This window comes from Homo sapiens, chromosome 14 (genome assembly GCF_000001405.40).
Source record: "Homo sapiens chromosome 14, GRCh38.p14 Primary Assembly".
NCBI classification, from domain to species: Eukaryota; Metazoa; Chordata; class Mammalia; order Primates; family Hominidae; genus Homo; species Homo sapiens.
The window spans coordinates 67,190,993-67,207,609 of NC_000014.9; the positions used below are offsets into that span (position 1 = coordinate 67,190,993).

Consider the following 16,617-nt stretch of genomic DNA (forward strand, 5'->3'; position numbering starts at 1 on the left):
GGAGGCTGAGGCAGGTGGATCACCTGAGGTCAGGAGTTCAAGACCAGCCTGGCCAACATGGCAAAACTTTGTCTCTACTAAAAATACAAAAATTTGCCAGGCATGGTGGCGGGCGCCTCTAATCCCAGCTACTCAGGAGGCTGAAGCATGAGAATCACTTGAACCCAGGAGGTAGAGGTTGCAGTGAGCCAAGATCACACCACTGCACTCCAGCCTGGGTGATGGAGCGAGACTCCGTCTCAAAAAAAAACAGCCATCATGTAATTACAGACAAATAACACAGTAAAAAGACCCAGAATCCAGGTAGTTGGTTTCACTATAGAAATCTTTCAACTTTGCCAGAGGTTTGAAACTTTTTATAATAAAATATTGGAGGGAAAAGACCACATGGTAATGGTCAACAGGAAACATTTGTAGAGGACATTTTAGGGGCATGTACAGACATCCCTCTGAATTAGGCAGTCAGAAAAGCCAACCAAGACAGTGCAACACTGGCTTTTCAGATTCCCACTCTCTCCCCTTCCCAATGGCCATGAACACTCAAGCTGTCACATTTCCAAAAATTTCCAGATGACTGCATTTATCCCCAGGAAAATAAAGGCACCCCACCCCTACCACAGGGTGAACAATCCCATATCCGTATCTAAGAATAGTAGTTCTCAGCCCTAATGGAGCCTTGATCATCCTTGAAACAGTATACACAGATAGGGAAGCCCTGACGACACCATGGAACGTCTAGAGAGCAGCTGAAGTGGCTCCCTCTTGAAACACATACAGCACATTGCTTGGTTTTCCTACAGAAGAACTAGCGTTGGTTTCCGATCTGTAATCAGATTTAATAAGGAATCTCTCTTTTCTTTTACTAAAAGTAGCCAACTACACTTTGTCAAATGAAAACTATACTGTAATTCTGCAGAAACGTACAACCTAATGTAGCTGTCTGCTGAATGAATCACCATTCAGTTGGAACTTGAAAAACAAGAGAAAGGATTGAGGGGGAGAAAAAGTACTGGTTAAAAGAAGTAACAGAGACCGCAAGGGATCAGCTAGTGCTAGAACGAGCTCATCCATCTCAAATAAAACTCCATTCTTTGTGCCACCCTCGCTCTGCAGCGCAGCAAAAGCCCTTCCCTGCAACATAGCTCTGCATCCTGCCTGCTTAATTAGATGAATAGGACATTGAATGGGCCTAGCAAAAGGCAAACATTGTTGGAAAAATATAAGCTATGATTGTGAAGATTAATACACAATCGTGATAGAATAACTTGTGACAAAAGATTCCATGTGTCTGTGCCATGGAGCTAGCTCTGTGTTTCCATGATAGCCCATAACAACCCTGCTTTAATTCTCACTTTCATTCAACAAGTAGTTTTGTTTGTTTCTTTCTTTTATTTCCCTACCTAACACCTTGAACAATCAACATGTATTTTTGAGTCACCAAAGTTAATTATGATATCTTAGTAAGGTGATTGGATCAGAGGGTGGGGTCTGAACTGATTCTCAGGCTTGATTGCCTGTCTCTACTGTGCCCGCACACCGAGAAGGCAAAGCAGAGTGCAAGGAGCTTATCAGGAGAGAACCCAGAAACCATCTGTTTCTTTTTAAATAAAATCATTTCTTAAGCATCAGTTTAACCACTGGCCACAATTATTTTGCCACTCTTTACAAGACATTGTCATGTTCCAAATAGCTTGACACCATGATTGATAGCTGCTGTTTTAAAAAAAAAATTTAATGTTATGGGGATATATTAATATATATTACACATATTTTAACATATATTACATATATATGTATGTGTGTGTATATATAGATATAGATATCTATATGTACAGATCTATATATATATCTATATATAGATATACAGATATATATAGATATATAGATATATATCTAGATATCGATATCTAGATATATATAGATATATATGTATATATAGATATCTAGATAAATATCTCTATATATCTATATATCGATATCTAGATATAGATCTCTCTATATATCTCTATATATCAATATCTAGATATAGATATATCTCTATCAATATCTAGATATAGATATATCTCTATATCTATATATATCCATATATCTATCTATATCTCTATATATCTCTATATAGATATCTCTCTATATATCTCTATATAGACATCTATCTATATATCTCTATATAGACATCTATATATCTCTATATAGACATCTATCTATATATCTCTATATAGACATCTATCTATATATCTCTATATAGACATCTATCTATATATCTCTATATAGACATCTATCTATATATCTCTATATAGACATCTATCTATATATCTCTATATAGATATCTATATATCTCTATATAGATATCTATCTATATAGAGATATATAATCTATCTATATATCTAGATATATCTAGATATATCTAGATATATATCTATATATCTATATTTATATCTGTATATCTAGATACAGATCTCTATATATCTAGATATCTAGATATCTAGATACAGATAGCTATATATCTAGATATCCATATATATATATCTAGATATAGATCTATAGAAATATATATCTATATATAGATCTATATCTATATAGATCTATATATAGATATAGATATATATCTATAGATATATAGATAGAAATATATCTATCTATATAGATATAGATATATAGAAATTAAGTAGGCCAAGCACAGTGGCTCATGCCTATAATCCCAGCACTTTGGGAGGCCAAAACAGGTGGATCACTTGAGCCCAGGAGTTTGAGACCAGCCTGGGCAACACAGGAAGACCCAATTTCTACAAAAAAAAAAAAAAAATTAGCTGGGTATGGTAGCGTGTACCTGTAATGCCAACTATTCAGGAGGCTGAGGTGAGAGGATCACTTGGGCTGGGGAGGTTGAGGCTGCAGTGAGCAATGATCACACCACTGCACTCCAGCCTGTGTGACAGAGCAAGACCCTGTCTCAAAAAAAAACAAAAAAAAAACGAAAAACAAAAAAAAAAACAGAAAGAAAGAAATTAAGTGAAAAATCTATTTGTAAAACTGGAAAGACATATACCAAAACTTGAATACTGTCTCCAGATATTCATAGTGAACCTAAGGCCAGGCACAGTGACTCACACCTATAATCCTAGCACTTTGGGAGGCCGAGGTGGGCAGATTGCTTGAGCTCAGGAGTTCGAGACCAGCCTGGGCAACATGGTGAAATCCCGTCTCTACAAAAAAATACATAAATTAGCCAGGTGTGATGGCACAGGCCTGTGGTCCCAACTACTCGGGAGGCTGAGGTGGGAGGATCACTTGAGCCCAGGAAGTCAAGGCTGCAGTGAGCCAAGATCACTCCATTGCACTCCAGCCTGGGTGACAGAGCAAGACCTGTAGAAAAAAAAAAAAAGAGTGAACCTAGTAAATAGTTAATGTACTTTACCATTGGTAAAATATACGATGATGAGGGGGGCGTGTGTGTGTGTGTGCTGTGGCCAAAATGATGGCTTCACAGAACCATCCCTCTGTTTTAAGAGCCTAAACTATTTTTTTTCCCCCAAGACAGAGTTTTGCTCTGTCACACAGGCTAGAGTGCAGTGGCACAATCTTGGCTCACTGCAACCTCCGCCTCCCGGGTTCAAGAGATTCTCCTGCTTCAGTCTCCCAAGTAGCTGGGATTACAGGCATGCGCCACCACACCTGGTTAATTGTATTTTTAGTAGAGATGGGGTTTCACCTTGTTGGTCAGGCTGGTCTCGAACTCCTGACCTGGTGATCCACCTCCCATGTTCAAGTGATTCTCCTGCCTCAGTCTCTCGAGTAGCTGGGATTACAGGCACCTGTCACCATGCCAGGCTAATTTTTATATTTTCAGTAGAGTCAGGGTTTCACAACGTTGGCCAGGCTGATCTTGAACTCCTGACCTAAGGTGATCTGCCCACCTTGGCCTCTTAAAGTGCTGGGATTATAGGCGTGAGCCACCGTGCCCCTCTCAGCCTCAAAGTGCTAAGATTACAGGTGTGAGCCACCACGCCCAAGCCTGGACTAATTAACTAGGATAATTGGAGATGTTGGTGGGGTGAGGGGTGTAGTGCACAGGTATCTCAAATCACAGTTACAACAAAACCAGGCAAAATTTAGCACACACTTCTCAGCTATATGCATAATCCAAAAGTGTAAAAATAATTCCAGAACAATTATTTAGAACATCACAGCAAAGTTGATAAAAGAGCCTGTTAACACTTTCTGCTCCTCAGCTAACCTCAACTTTGTTCAAAAAGGAAGAGGGGCGAGACCCAGTCGTGGCTGCAAATATCCTTGAATTCCTTCCTTTTCTCTCATTTCCTCCTCCCTCTCTGTGTCCTGAATCCACAGCTACACCTTTTCCCCTGGGAGATCATCCACTCTTTGCTCTCTGGAAGGAGAATTCTCAGATGCAAGGGATTCTGGAGATCTCCTAAATGACAGCAGTGGAAAGGGCCTTTCGCTATCCCAGCAGCCATGTGGCATATCCTGATTAGCAAGTGTGAACCGTAGACACACCCTCCAGTATGCAGTATTTTCATTTTCTCAGAGTGAATTGTTTTTCCAAAATGTGCACTCTTTCACTTAACTCTGTATGAACAAGAGTTGACTACTGCATCTCCTCAAATCTAAGATACACCAATTATAAGATATATTATTATTTTATGTGCCACTAAGAAAGGAAACATGCTGCTAATTATAGAACTTAATGCTTTCTTTTTGGTTGTGTGTGTGTGTGTGTGTGTGTGTGTGTGTGTGTGTGTGTGTGTTTTGAGACAGAGTCTTGCTCTGTCGCCCAGGCTGGAGTGCAGTGGCACGATCTCAGCTCACTGCCATCTCCGCCTCCCGGGTTCAAGCAATTCTCCTGCCTCAGCCTCCCAAGTGGGCCTATATTGAGAGACCTCCTAGAGAGGCCTTTAGAAGTAGCTGAGACTACAGGTGCATGCCACCACACCTGGCTAATTTTTGTGTTTTTTAGTAGAGATGGGGTTTCGCCATGTTGGCCAGGCTGTTCTCGAACTCCTGACCTCAGGTGATCCACCCACCTTGGCCTCCTAAATAATGCTTTCTATGGGAATTTTCCCACACAATATCTAGCTGTTGTTCCTGTGCCATCATCCTCTGTGCATTTCTTAAAGGGCTCCACTCTAGTCTTTAGGACCTTCTTCTAAGCCTCTGACAAGTTTCATACTGGAGCTTTCTTTTTCTTTCCTTTCTTTTCTTTTCTTTCTTTCTTTTTTTTTTTTGATGGAGTTTTGCTCTTGTCGCCCAGCCTGCAGTGCATTGGCACAGTCTTGGCTCACTGCAACCTCCACCTCTCATGTTCAAGTGATTCTCCTGCCTCAGTCTCCCGAATAGCTGGGATTACAGGCACCTGTCACCATGCCAGGCTAATTTTTATATTTTCAGTAGAGACAGGATTTCACGACGTTGGCCAGGCCAGGCTGATCTTGAACTCCTGACCTAAGGTGATCTGCCCGCCTTGGCCTCTTAAAGTGCTGGGATTATAGGCGTGAGCTACTGCACCTGGCCAGGAGCTTTCTTAATCTTACTAGAAGATGTCAACAAAAGGTTTTCAGGTAATCGTAAGGAGCACACTTTAAACAGCAATTAAATGCAACCCAGGTAATACAGTCTGTACTGCTTCCTTTGCCACATTATCAAATATCCTCATTGGCCATAGGAGCTCAGGATTCCACTGTTTGGCAGTTTCAGGCCAATTATGAGCTATGGACTCATGACTCTGGTTCCACTCACCAAAAGACCACGGTGAGGATCATCAACAACAGCTCAGCTCAGACATAGACAGCAGCCTCGGACTCCGCTTCACCTACCCAGTATACTTACAAGAACTCTAACTCTTTCTGAGGCCTTGACCTCACACTTGAAATAACAGTAAGGTTTAGAATTGAAATTAGTTTCTTTTGTATACAAATTAGTGCTTTTTTTTTCTTTTTGAGACAGGCTCTCGCTCTGATGCCCAGGCTGGAGTGCAGTGACAAGATCATAGCTCACTGTAGCCTCAACCTCCCAGGCTCAGGTGATCCTCCCACCTCAACCTCCCAAGTAGCTGGAACTATAGGCATGCACCACCACACCTGGCTAATTTCTGTATTTTTTGTAGAGACAAGATCTTGCTATGTTGCCCAGGCTGTTCTCAAACTCCTGGGCTCAAGTAAGCGGCCCATCTTGGCCTCCCAAAGTGCTGGGATTATAGGTGTGAGCCATTGTGCCTGGCCTGTATACATTTGATTTTCTTTTTGTTGTTTCTTTTACAAAAGATTTCATCATGAAAAGGAGGAAGCTCAAACTGAAGTGAGTTAAAAACTTCATCTCCTAGAGAGGACTGTGGCTCGGCCTGAGTTGAGGTGAGATTTGATGGTTCTTACAGATAAACCATGTGGGCTGCATGGCCACATCCTCTCCTGCCCTTTTCTCTTTTCCTTCCTTTCCCTCTTCCTTCTTCTACTTACTTTACTTTCCAAGATTTATTTTCTTCTTTCTCTCTCCTGGAGACTTAATATACTGAAGATGCTGCCTATATCAGTGGTCCCCTTGGCAGCAGGGACCAGTGTTGTGGAAGGCAATTTTTCCACCGACTTAGAGTCTCATAAGGAGCGCGCAACCAAGAGCTAAGCCTCAGTTATGGGTGAATAGTCTGGAAAAAGTGTTCTCAGTTTAGTATAGCTTTGATACCCTGCTTACAAAAAGGGATTGGAGAATCCTGCATGATGAAGAGGGTACCATCAATTTGGAAGATAGAAAATAATGGTCTGTGGGGGAATATATTGAGAGACCTCCTAGAGAAGCCTTTCCTGCTACCCTAATAGGTGTCTCCAGCCCTATACTCTGGTCATTTTTTACTATATGTATCTGTTTTCAAGTCCTGATAGTCCCTATCATCCAACATCTTGTCTGAGTTTCTTTTGGCTTGCTTACTACCTGTCTCCCCATAGAGTGTAAGCTGAATGAGGGCAGAGATCTTATCAGTCCTGTTTAGATGTATGTATTAATACAAGTGCCTGGTGCAGTGCCAAGCATATCACAGATATTGATAAAATTTGCTGAATTAATAAATAAATGAAGCAACTTAATTATGATATTAAATTCTCTCTGTATCCACTAATTGTGTTTCCATTCCCTCAGTTTTTTTATGTTTATGTGCAAGCGCAATGAAGAAGAACACCAGCAAGACTACCATGAGGATCAATAAGCAAGATGCTCTCTGCACCCCACACTCCCATGATCCGAGAGATCTTCAAAATATGTTGGATGGAGGAGAGTATGCCCCTTTTGTATCTCCTCCCATGTTAGAGAGCAATTTTATCCAGGTAAATCATATTCAAGGCCTGAGTTAAGTTCCAATAACTTCAGTAATTTTCTCAAAGAAAACTGAAAAGGATGGTAGGAGAATTGTTTTAAATGTGCCGAGGGAATGTGTGATACTACAAAAGAGAACAGTTTGGGAACTTTAAAAAACCTGAAATAATTACAATGTTAAAGGACATTTACTTCAAATGTCCCCAAAACTCTTGTGAAGGACTTCTGTCTTAACTCTACCATAATTGCCATTCCATCATAATCTTCCCAAAATTACATGAAGCCGTTTTTGGCATTTCCCGCCACAGGGAAACATACAGATAACTTCTTTCTTAGGCGTAGAAGACATTCTAAAGAACATCTATGACTAGGGATTACAATGAATCTTAACTCCTAGTTCTGAAGGTAAATTGTCAGATGGTGTCGGGGAGAAAAGCTCCCTTCTCATAAGAATGTCCCTACATTATGAATGAAACTGCATTTCTATGCATTTGGGAGCAATGCTAACTTTTCTCTAAACATTCAACATTAAAATATTCAGACAAAGAAATGGTGAAATGAGTTCAATGATAGGGGTCATACCTCTAAAGTTCCTAGAAATTCCATAACAAAGTCTAACACTAAACACTGAGCTATTACCTCTAACTCTTAATACATTCGAGAAGCTGCTCAGCTGATTTCACAGAGGGGTGACAAGGGAGGACAACAGACACTTCAAAAGGCAAGAAGAGGATGGCAGGAGCTCTTTTGCCATGGCTACCAGGCCGATCTCCGAGCGGAACCAGGATGCCACTGTGTACGTGGGGGGCCTGAATGAGAAGGTTAGTGAACCGCTACTGTGGGAACTGTTTCTCCAGGCTGGACCAGTAGTCAACACCCACATGCCAAAGGATAGAGTCACTGGCCAGCACCAAGGCTATGACTTTGTGAATTCTTGAGTGAGGATGATGCTGACTATGCCATTAAGATCATGAACATGATCAGACTCTATGGGAAGCCAATACGGGTGAACAAGGCATCAGCTCACAACAAAAACCTGGATGTAGGGGCCAACATTTTCAATGGGAACCTGGACCCTGAGATTGATGAGAAGTTGCTTTATGATACTTTCAGCGCCTTTGGGGTCATCTTACAAACCCCCAAGATTATGTGGGACCCTGACACAGGCAACTCCAAAGGTTATGCCTTTATTAATTTTGCTTCATTTGATGCTTCAGTTGCAGCAATTGAAGCCATGAATGGGCAGTACCTCTGTAACCACCCTATCACCGTATCTTATGCCTTCGAGAAGGACTCCAAGGGTGAGCGCCATGGCTTAGCAGCTGGACGACTTCTGGCAGCTCAGAACCCGCTCTCCCAGCCTGACCGCCCTCATCAGCTGTTTGCAGATGCACCTCCTTCACCCTCTGCCCCCAATCCTGTGGTATCATCATTGGGGTCTGGGCTTCCTCCACCAGGCATGCCTCCTCCTGGCTCCTTCCCACCCCCAGTGCTGCCTCCTGGAGCCCTCCCACCTGGGATACCCCCAGCCATGCCCCACCACCTATGCCTCCTGGGGCTGCAGGACATGGCCCCCCATCGGCAGGAACCCCAGGGGCAGGACATCCTGGTCATGGACACTCCCAAGCTCACCCATTCCCACCAGGAGGAGTGCCCCATCCAGGGATGTCTCAGATGCAGCTGGCACACCATGGACCTCATGGTTTAGGACATCCCCATTCTGGACACCCAGGCTCTGGGGGACAGCCACCACCCCAACCACCACCTGGAATGCCTTATCCTGGACCTCCTCCAATGGGCATGCCCCCCCGAAGGCCTCCATTCTGATCTCCCATGGGTCACCCAGGTCCTATGCCTCCACATGGTATGCGTGGACTTCCTCCACTGATGCCCCCCATGGATACACTGGCCCTCCACAACCCACACCCTATGGCTACCAGCCTCTCCCTCCAACCAGGCCCACTCCCCAGCCACCAGTTGCCCCTCGAGGCCCGCTTTGGAGCCCTCTCCCTCAGTAAATTCACATTTTCCTTCCTCCTATTACATCTTCCCAATATCTTTTCGATACCTTGGACCAATCAGAGATGCTGTAGCTCCTTGGGGCTAAGGCACTAATCCCTTTCAGCACCCCCACCCCATTCCCCTTTTTAATGTAACTTTTTCCACAGGAGGTATTTCTTTTTTATGTTGGTCCTGAGTATTTTGCAAATGCACAGAGAAAATAAAACTAAACTCCTTGTTTAAAAAAAAATGTAAGGAGACTTCATCTTCCATTAACACGTTCTCTGCACTCATACTTGAGTACTAGTGTGAGCTACCCACCTCCAGTATACCATAGGCAGGAGGTGAAACCTCCCAAAACATCTAATGTTTTACTGATGTCCCTAGAACGCATGTGACAAGTCATGATTTGATGTACTTTACCTTATACATACTTCTTTCCTACTAATAATGTTTTCATTTTTTCACCTTTCATCCTGTGCTGTTTCCAAGTTAGTTACCTTTTGCACACTCTAATAAAATTACATAGTACTTGTCCAACATTGGGGGTAGTTAGCAGTCTATAGGTCAGACGTTGCCCCCATCGTAATTTGATAACTCATATCCTTCAAGATGCACAACCCCACCTGGTTAGCATGTCTTTGGCAGCAAGTTACCAAGATTCCTGACTGAACAGGTTTAAATGAAAAAAGAAAAACAATTAGGCTGGGTGCAGTGGCTCATGGCTATAATCCCAGTACTTTGAAAGGACAAGGCAGGAGGATCGCTTGAGGCCAGGTTCAAGACTGACCTGGGCAACAAGTGAGATCCCATCTCTAAAAACACTTTTAAAAATTAGCAGGGTGCAGTGCTGCACACCTGTATTCCTAGCTACTCGGAAGGCTGAGGAGGGAGGATTGCTTAAGCCCAGGAGCTCCAGGCTGCAGTGAGCTAGGATGGCGCTACTGCACTCCAGCCTGGATGATAAGACAAGACTTTGTCTCTAAAAACAAACAAATAAATATTTTTAAAAAAATTTAAAAGAGAGCAATTATCTCAAATAGAGTGAAAGAGCCCCAGGGCATCAGCTCACTCCCAGTAGAAGACCCCAATTCTCTCTTTTTGCTCTGTCACCTTCAAGCCAGCTCCCCTCAGGGCCTCACATCTAAACAGGACAATGATAGCTGCCAGCAGTAGAAGATATTCATCTCATCCTGGTGGCTCTGTCTCCTGGTGGCTCTGAGAAACGTTTTCCAGGGTTGGAGGATACCTCCTGTATGTCTTGCTGGTCACATGCCACTGCTGAAACCAGTCACTGGCAAGGGGTGTGGAGTGGAACCACCACTACCCATTTAAGTTAATCAGGATTTAATCCCTGAGCTGGGTCATCATCCCTGAGCCATGATATTGGACAAAACCAGGATTCTGTTAATCCAGAAGAAGAGGGGCACAGTTTGGGTAAGTTATCAATAGTGTGAGCTACAACCTCTTTCTTTCAATGATGTATTTTTTAATTGAACCAATTATCATACAGCTGAGAAACTACAGTGTAGCTCCTCTCTGCCTTCCTTCATTTCCCTGTCTGCCCATCCTCCAGTCTCTTCTTCTACCAAGTGGCAGAGATTTTACTGGCCAAGTTTCTTGGACTTCAGGGTTTTTATACATGCTGTTCCTCTGCCTGGAAACCTCTCCTCTCAACCCAGCCAGTTTATTTCCCACATAGTTCAGGTATCAGCTAGAGGTCTCTTCCTCAGGGGAGACTTCCATGAGTCCATATCCAGGGGTGTGCCAGAACTGGTCGATTGGTACGTGTTCAGGAAATTTGCAAGTCAGTTGTTAAACACAGCCATTATTAAAAATTAAATTATAGGCCAGGCACAGCGGCTCACGCCTGTAATCCCAGCACTTTGGTAGGCTAAAGTGGGTGGATCACCCGAGGTCAGGAGTTCGAGACCAGCCCCACCAACATGGTGAAGCCCCGTCTCTCCTAAAAATACAAAAATTAGCCGGGCTTGGTGGCATGTGCCTGTAATCCCAGCTACTTGGGAGGCTGAGACAGGAGAATCATTTGAACCTGGGAGGCAGAGGTTGTAGTAAGCCGAGATCACCCATGGCACTCCAGCCTGGGCAACAGAACGAGACTGCACCTAAAAAAAAATTAAATTCTTAAAAATTAAATTTTATAAACTTACATTATATCTAAAATAAGGGCAATAAATATTCAAAACTCATCATTCCTATTCTTTTACTACATTTTACTGTTGTCTATACTTCTAAGGTTATAAATATAAGAAGAGTTTGGCAAGAGTTTGTGGAATTTATTAATTGGCTCTATGGAATTTAAACTAAAGACTAAAGAATATTGCATATTATTTGTAAATTTGTATGCTACTTGTCTTTTATGTCAGTAACACTTTAAACTTATGTGTAAATGTGTGTACCTCCCAAGACCTAACTGTTACCAGAACATCACTGCCTGTCTCCCCACTCTAAGCTAAGTCAAGTCCTCTGTTATGTGCTCCTGTAACATCCTGGACTTGTACTTGGTAAAACTTCTTATAGTAATAATTAGTCACATACTTAAATTGTTTAATGTTTGCCTTCCCTGGTAGGCCCCCATGGGTCAGAGGCTGTGTCTGTTCCCTGCGGTATCTCCAAGAATTAGCATGAGCAAGTGAAGGAACAAATATATCATGGTTCATTCCTCCTTTATTTCCTACCCTCTCTTACACTTCTCAGGCAAGCAAGGTTGTCAAAGCCACACATTTCATCATATAACGCCTTTTCCTGTTTTCTGCACTCAGGTCAACAGAAGAGGTGAATCCATTTACCTTCATAACCGAGCCAACTGGGTGACCGTAGGCATCTGTTTTTCCAGCTCCACCCACAAGATCCCCAATGTGATGCTACTGGCCCATCTGACACCTGGTGCCCAAAAAGATACAGAAACCCTGTTTAAAAGTCTCCTGACATCTCCTCCTGCAGAGAAACTAGTGCTCACCAGGTGAGTTACAAAGAGAAGAGGTTAAAGATCTCTCAGAAGATGTGCATTAGCCCTGTGGATCTGAAAACGGAAACACTGATGACAATTGCGCCAGTGGAGCATGTTACTCGCACTCCCTGCTGCAAATGACAAAGAGGAGCATCCTTGAAGACGGGTGAAATCATGTATGACAATGGGTATCCAACAGGCAGTTAATTTTTAAAAAACTAAATCTAATTAACAGGAACTGAAGACTCATAATAAACTACCTTTCTAGAACATGCCTCCTCTTCCACAGCATCCCAGCTTCCAGCAGAATTAGCTCTGGTCCTGTCTCAGCCACTAACTTGGTCTATGATCATGAGCAAATTGCTTAACTTTAAGTCAACTTTGAAGGATTAATTTAAATGGACGCTTTCTCATGGTAAATAATTGACATTCTGACGTGTTTTGTTTTTGAGATGGAGTCTTGCACTGTCACCCAGGCTGGAGTGCAATGGCACGATCTTGGCTCACTACAACCTCCACCTCCCAGTTCAAGCGATTCTCCTGTCTCAGCCTCCCGAGTATCTGGGACTACAGGCACACACCACCACGCTCAGCTAATTTTTGTATTTTCAGTAGAGACAGAGTTTCACCATATTGGTCAGGCTGGTATTGAACTCCTGACCTCAGGTGATCCACCCGCCTTGGCCTCCCAAAGTGCTGGGATTACAGGCGTGAGCCACTGCACCCAGCCCATTCAGACGTTTTTATACATCAGAGCCTTAGGCATATGATTAAGATGAGATGGTTCTCAGGAGCCCCTACCCAGACCTATCTGGGAGGCAAGTCTGGTGTCTTGAGTCTCACTCTTCAAACTACTATAAAATATAAGAAAGAGGCTGGGCATGGTGGCTCACACCTGTAATCCCAGTACTTTGGGAAGCCAAGGCAGGTGAATTGCTTGAGCCCAGGCATTCAAGACCAGCCTGAGCAACATGGTGAAACCTTGTCTCTACAAAAAAATGCAAAAATTAGCCAGGCATTGGTGGTACATATCTGTTGTCCCAGCTACTCAGGAGGATGAGGTGGGAGGACCACTTAGGCACAGGAAGTCGAGGCTGCAGTGAGCCATGATCGCATCACCACTGCACTCCAACGTGGGCAACAGAGTGAGAACTTGTCTCAAAACAAACAAACAAATATATATATATATAAGAAAGGCCTTTTTATAAGCCTCCCATCAGGTCTCCAGATGATGTTACCGTGTGCTTGTTTGCAGGTTTCTCCCTCTGCAGTTTGTGACTCTTTCTGTGCATGATGCGGAGAACATGAGCCTGAAAGTAAAGCTGGTGAGTGGTCGAGCCTACTACTTACAGCTCTGCACCTCTGCATATAAACAGGACACCTTGTTTTCTCAATGGGTGGCCCTCATCTCCCTCTTGAATCAGGAGAAAGCCAAAGTTTCCAAAGTGTCGGAGGTTTCAAGTCTCTCAGGAATTACGAATAGCACAGACATCACAGGCTCCATGGATGTGACGGATGTCACCACGTTCACAGCCATCCTGACCCCGTACATGTATGCAGGTACAGGCCCTGAACATGTCAGGGACAGCATAGATTTCCCAGAATTCACAGACATCACCGACATCACAGATGTCACAGATCTTCCAGAAAATGAGGTCCCAGAGGTCCCGGATGTAAGAATTGTCACAGAAGTCATAGAAGTCAGAGAAGCCACGGAAGTCACAGACAGCTCTGATATTACAAACTGCTCGGGAGTCACAGTGGTGTTTGAAAACAATGACTTAATCAGGGCCAAGCAAGAGGAGAAGGTATGTGTCACTGAAGACTTTCATGCTTTAATAATCGAGAACTAGAGGGGTTACCGAGATCACACTTCTTGGTTAGCTGACATTGATTATCAAAATGCTATGGAACCTACCTACTCCGAGAAACCTAATTTTAATAGTGAGATTAAATCTCTGAACCCTGGTGTAAAGGAGTTGTAAGATGTCTCCTGAAATAGGCAGTGACAACCCTTAACATAAATCTTAGCCCAGCATCAGAAATGGAAAGAATTTTGGAATCAGAATCAGAACCAAGTTAGACTCTCAACCTGCGGCTCATATTACTTGTGTGACTTCACCCAAGTCACAGAATCCACATGAGCCTCAGTTTCCCCACTTCTAAAGGATATTAATACAATGTAAGGGTTAATTTCTGGTTTAAAAATATATAGCAGTACCCAGTACCTTGAAGGATGGGATGGAATTTCGATGGGTAAACATGAGGATGGAAATAGGATAATAAAAAACAAAACAAAGTGAGTGGCTTTAGAAAAGGCCAGAGAGTGGAAAAACAGAGAGTCACGTCCAAAAATGTTTCATTCAGTTGGGCTAGAGAATAATATATGTGGAGAATAGTAGAATATAGGACTGGAAAGTTGCTTAAAAAACTTGAGAGCCAAATTTAAAAATGAGATCTTCACTCTTTGGGCAAACGTTAGTGACCGAAGTCTCCTGTGTAAGGGAATGAAGGAGCTGTGTTTTTAAAAGATTAATCTAATGGCAGGATGGATTATAGGTAAAGAGATCTGTTTGAAGACTACTGCTGAAAAACTTCCTCTAGGTCCACAATAGAAAAAAGTCTGGTGCAGTGGCTCACATCTGTAATCCCGGCACTTTGGGAGGCCAAGACAGGTGGATTGCTTGAGCTTGGGAGTTCGAGACCAGCCTGGGAAACATGGCGAAACCCCATCTCTACTAAAAATACAAAAATTAGCTGGCCATGGTGGTGTATGCCTGTAGTCCCAGCTACTAGGGAGGCTGAGGTGGGAGGATTACTTGACCCTTGGAGGCAGAAGGTGCAGTGAGCCGAGATCATGCCACTGCTCTGGAGCCTGGGTAACAGTCACACCCTGTCTCAAAAAACACAAAACAAAAGAAAAGAAAGATGGTAGGGATGGGCACAGTGGCTCATGTCTGTAATCCCAGCACTTTGGGAGACCGAGGCGGGCAGATCACCTGAGGTCAGGAGTTGAGACTAGCCTGGCCAACATGGCAAAACCCTGTCTCTACTAAAAAATAAAAATTAGCCGGTGTGGTAGTGGGTGCCTGTAATCCCAGCTACCTGGGAGGCTGAGGCAGGAGAATTGTTTGAAACCGGGAGGTGGAGGTTGCAGTGAGCCAAGATTGTGCCATTGCACTCCAGCCTGGGCAACAGAGTGAGACCCTGTCTCAAAAAACAAACAAACAAACAAAAAAACCTAATTTTTAATTAGGAAAAATTCACATAGTTCTACACAATTTTTAATGACAGGAGAAAATGCTTATAATAAAATGTTAAGTGAAAAAGGTAGGAGACAGAACTTCAAGATGATCTAAGTAGACGTAAAATAAATAGAAAGATCAGAGTGAAATGTGCATAGAAGTAGTTGTTTCTGGGCAGTGGCATCAAACAAGCAATAATTTATTATTATTATTATTATTATTTTGAGACAGTCTCACTCCGTTGCCCAGGCTGGAGTGCAGTGGTGAGATCTCGGCTCACTGCAACCTCCACCTCTCAGGTTCAAGCGATTCTTATGCCTCAGCTTTCCAAGTAGCTGGGATTACAGGTGCCCACCACACGCCCAGTTAATTTTTGTATTTTTAGTAGAGATGGGGTTTCTCCATGTTGCCCAAGCTGGTCTCAAACTTCTGGCCTCAAGTGATCCACCCACCTTGGCAAGCAAAAATATTCTACCTTTAGCTTTATTCATTATAGGATTTTCCAAATACGCTATAATAAATATGTATGACTTTCATTGTCAGGGAAAAGTGAAGTTTTATCCTTAAGGAAGAAAATTATTACATCATTTTTAAGGAAATGTAATAGAGGTGTATTAGGCCATTGTTGCATTGCTATAAAGAAATATCTGAGGCTGGGCAATTAATAAAGAAAAGAGGGTTAATTGGCTCATGGGTCTGTAGGTGGTAAAGGAAGCACAATGCTGGCATCTGCTTCAGGTGAGGGCCTCAGGGAACTTACAATCGTGTGGAAGAGAAGGGGAGCCAGCACATCACATGGCCAGAGAGAGAGCAAAAGAGAGAGGAAGGAGGTGCCAGGCTCTTTTAAACAACCAAATCTCGCATCAACTTAGAGTGAGAACTCACTCATTATGGTGAGGACAGCACCAAGCCATTCATGAGGGATCTGCCCCCGAGACCTAAACACCTCCCACTAGGCCCACTTCCAACATTGGAGGTCACATTTCAACATGAGATTTTCAAGTGACAAAACATCCAAACCATATCAAGAAGTAATGGACTAGGCAGGGGCAGTGGAAAGAAGAAGGTGCAGACATGAAGGAC

At 43.0% G+C, this 16,617-nt stretch overlaps 2 protein-coding genes and 1 pseudogene across 8 annotated transcripts in view; all 3 read left to right on the forward strand.

Annotated features, from left to right (window-relative positions):
* GPHN (gephyrin) overlaps positions 1-16,617 on the forward strand; it is a 1,227,209-nt gene that overhangs the window by 682,846 nt on the left and 527,746 nt on the right. The window lies entirely within an intron of this gene.
* Positions 1-16,617, forward strand: part of GARIN2 (golgi associated RAB2 interactor family member 2) — a 39,119-nt gene that overhangs the window by 1,553 nt on the left and 20,949 nt on the right. For 4 of the 7 annotated variants that reach the window (XM_047431033.1, NM_173526.4, XM_011536500.2 and 1 more), the window contains exons 2-5: positions 6,279-6,365; positions 7,144-7,328; positions 12,102-12,301; positions 13,545-14,097. In XM_047431033.1, coding sequence (XP_047286989.1) covers positions 7,170-7,328; positions 12,102-12,301; positions 13,545-14,097 — 912 coding nt within the window. In that variant the 5' untranslated portion in view covers positions 6,279-6,365; positions 7,144-7,169. Of the gene's footprint in view, positions 1-5,961; positions 6,038-6,278; positions 6,366-7,143; positions 7,329-12,101; positions 12,302-13,544; positions 14,098-16,617 lie in introns of those variants that run through there. The other 3 variants (XM_047431034.1, XM_011536503.3, XM_047431031.1) reach the window with 2 other exon arrangements.
* On the forward strand, positions 8,049-9,560 carry SF3B4P1 (splicing factor 3b, subunit 4 pseudogene 1; annotated as a pseudogene).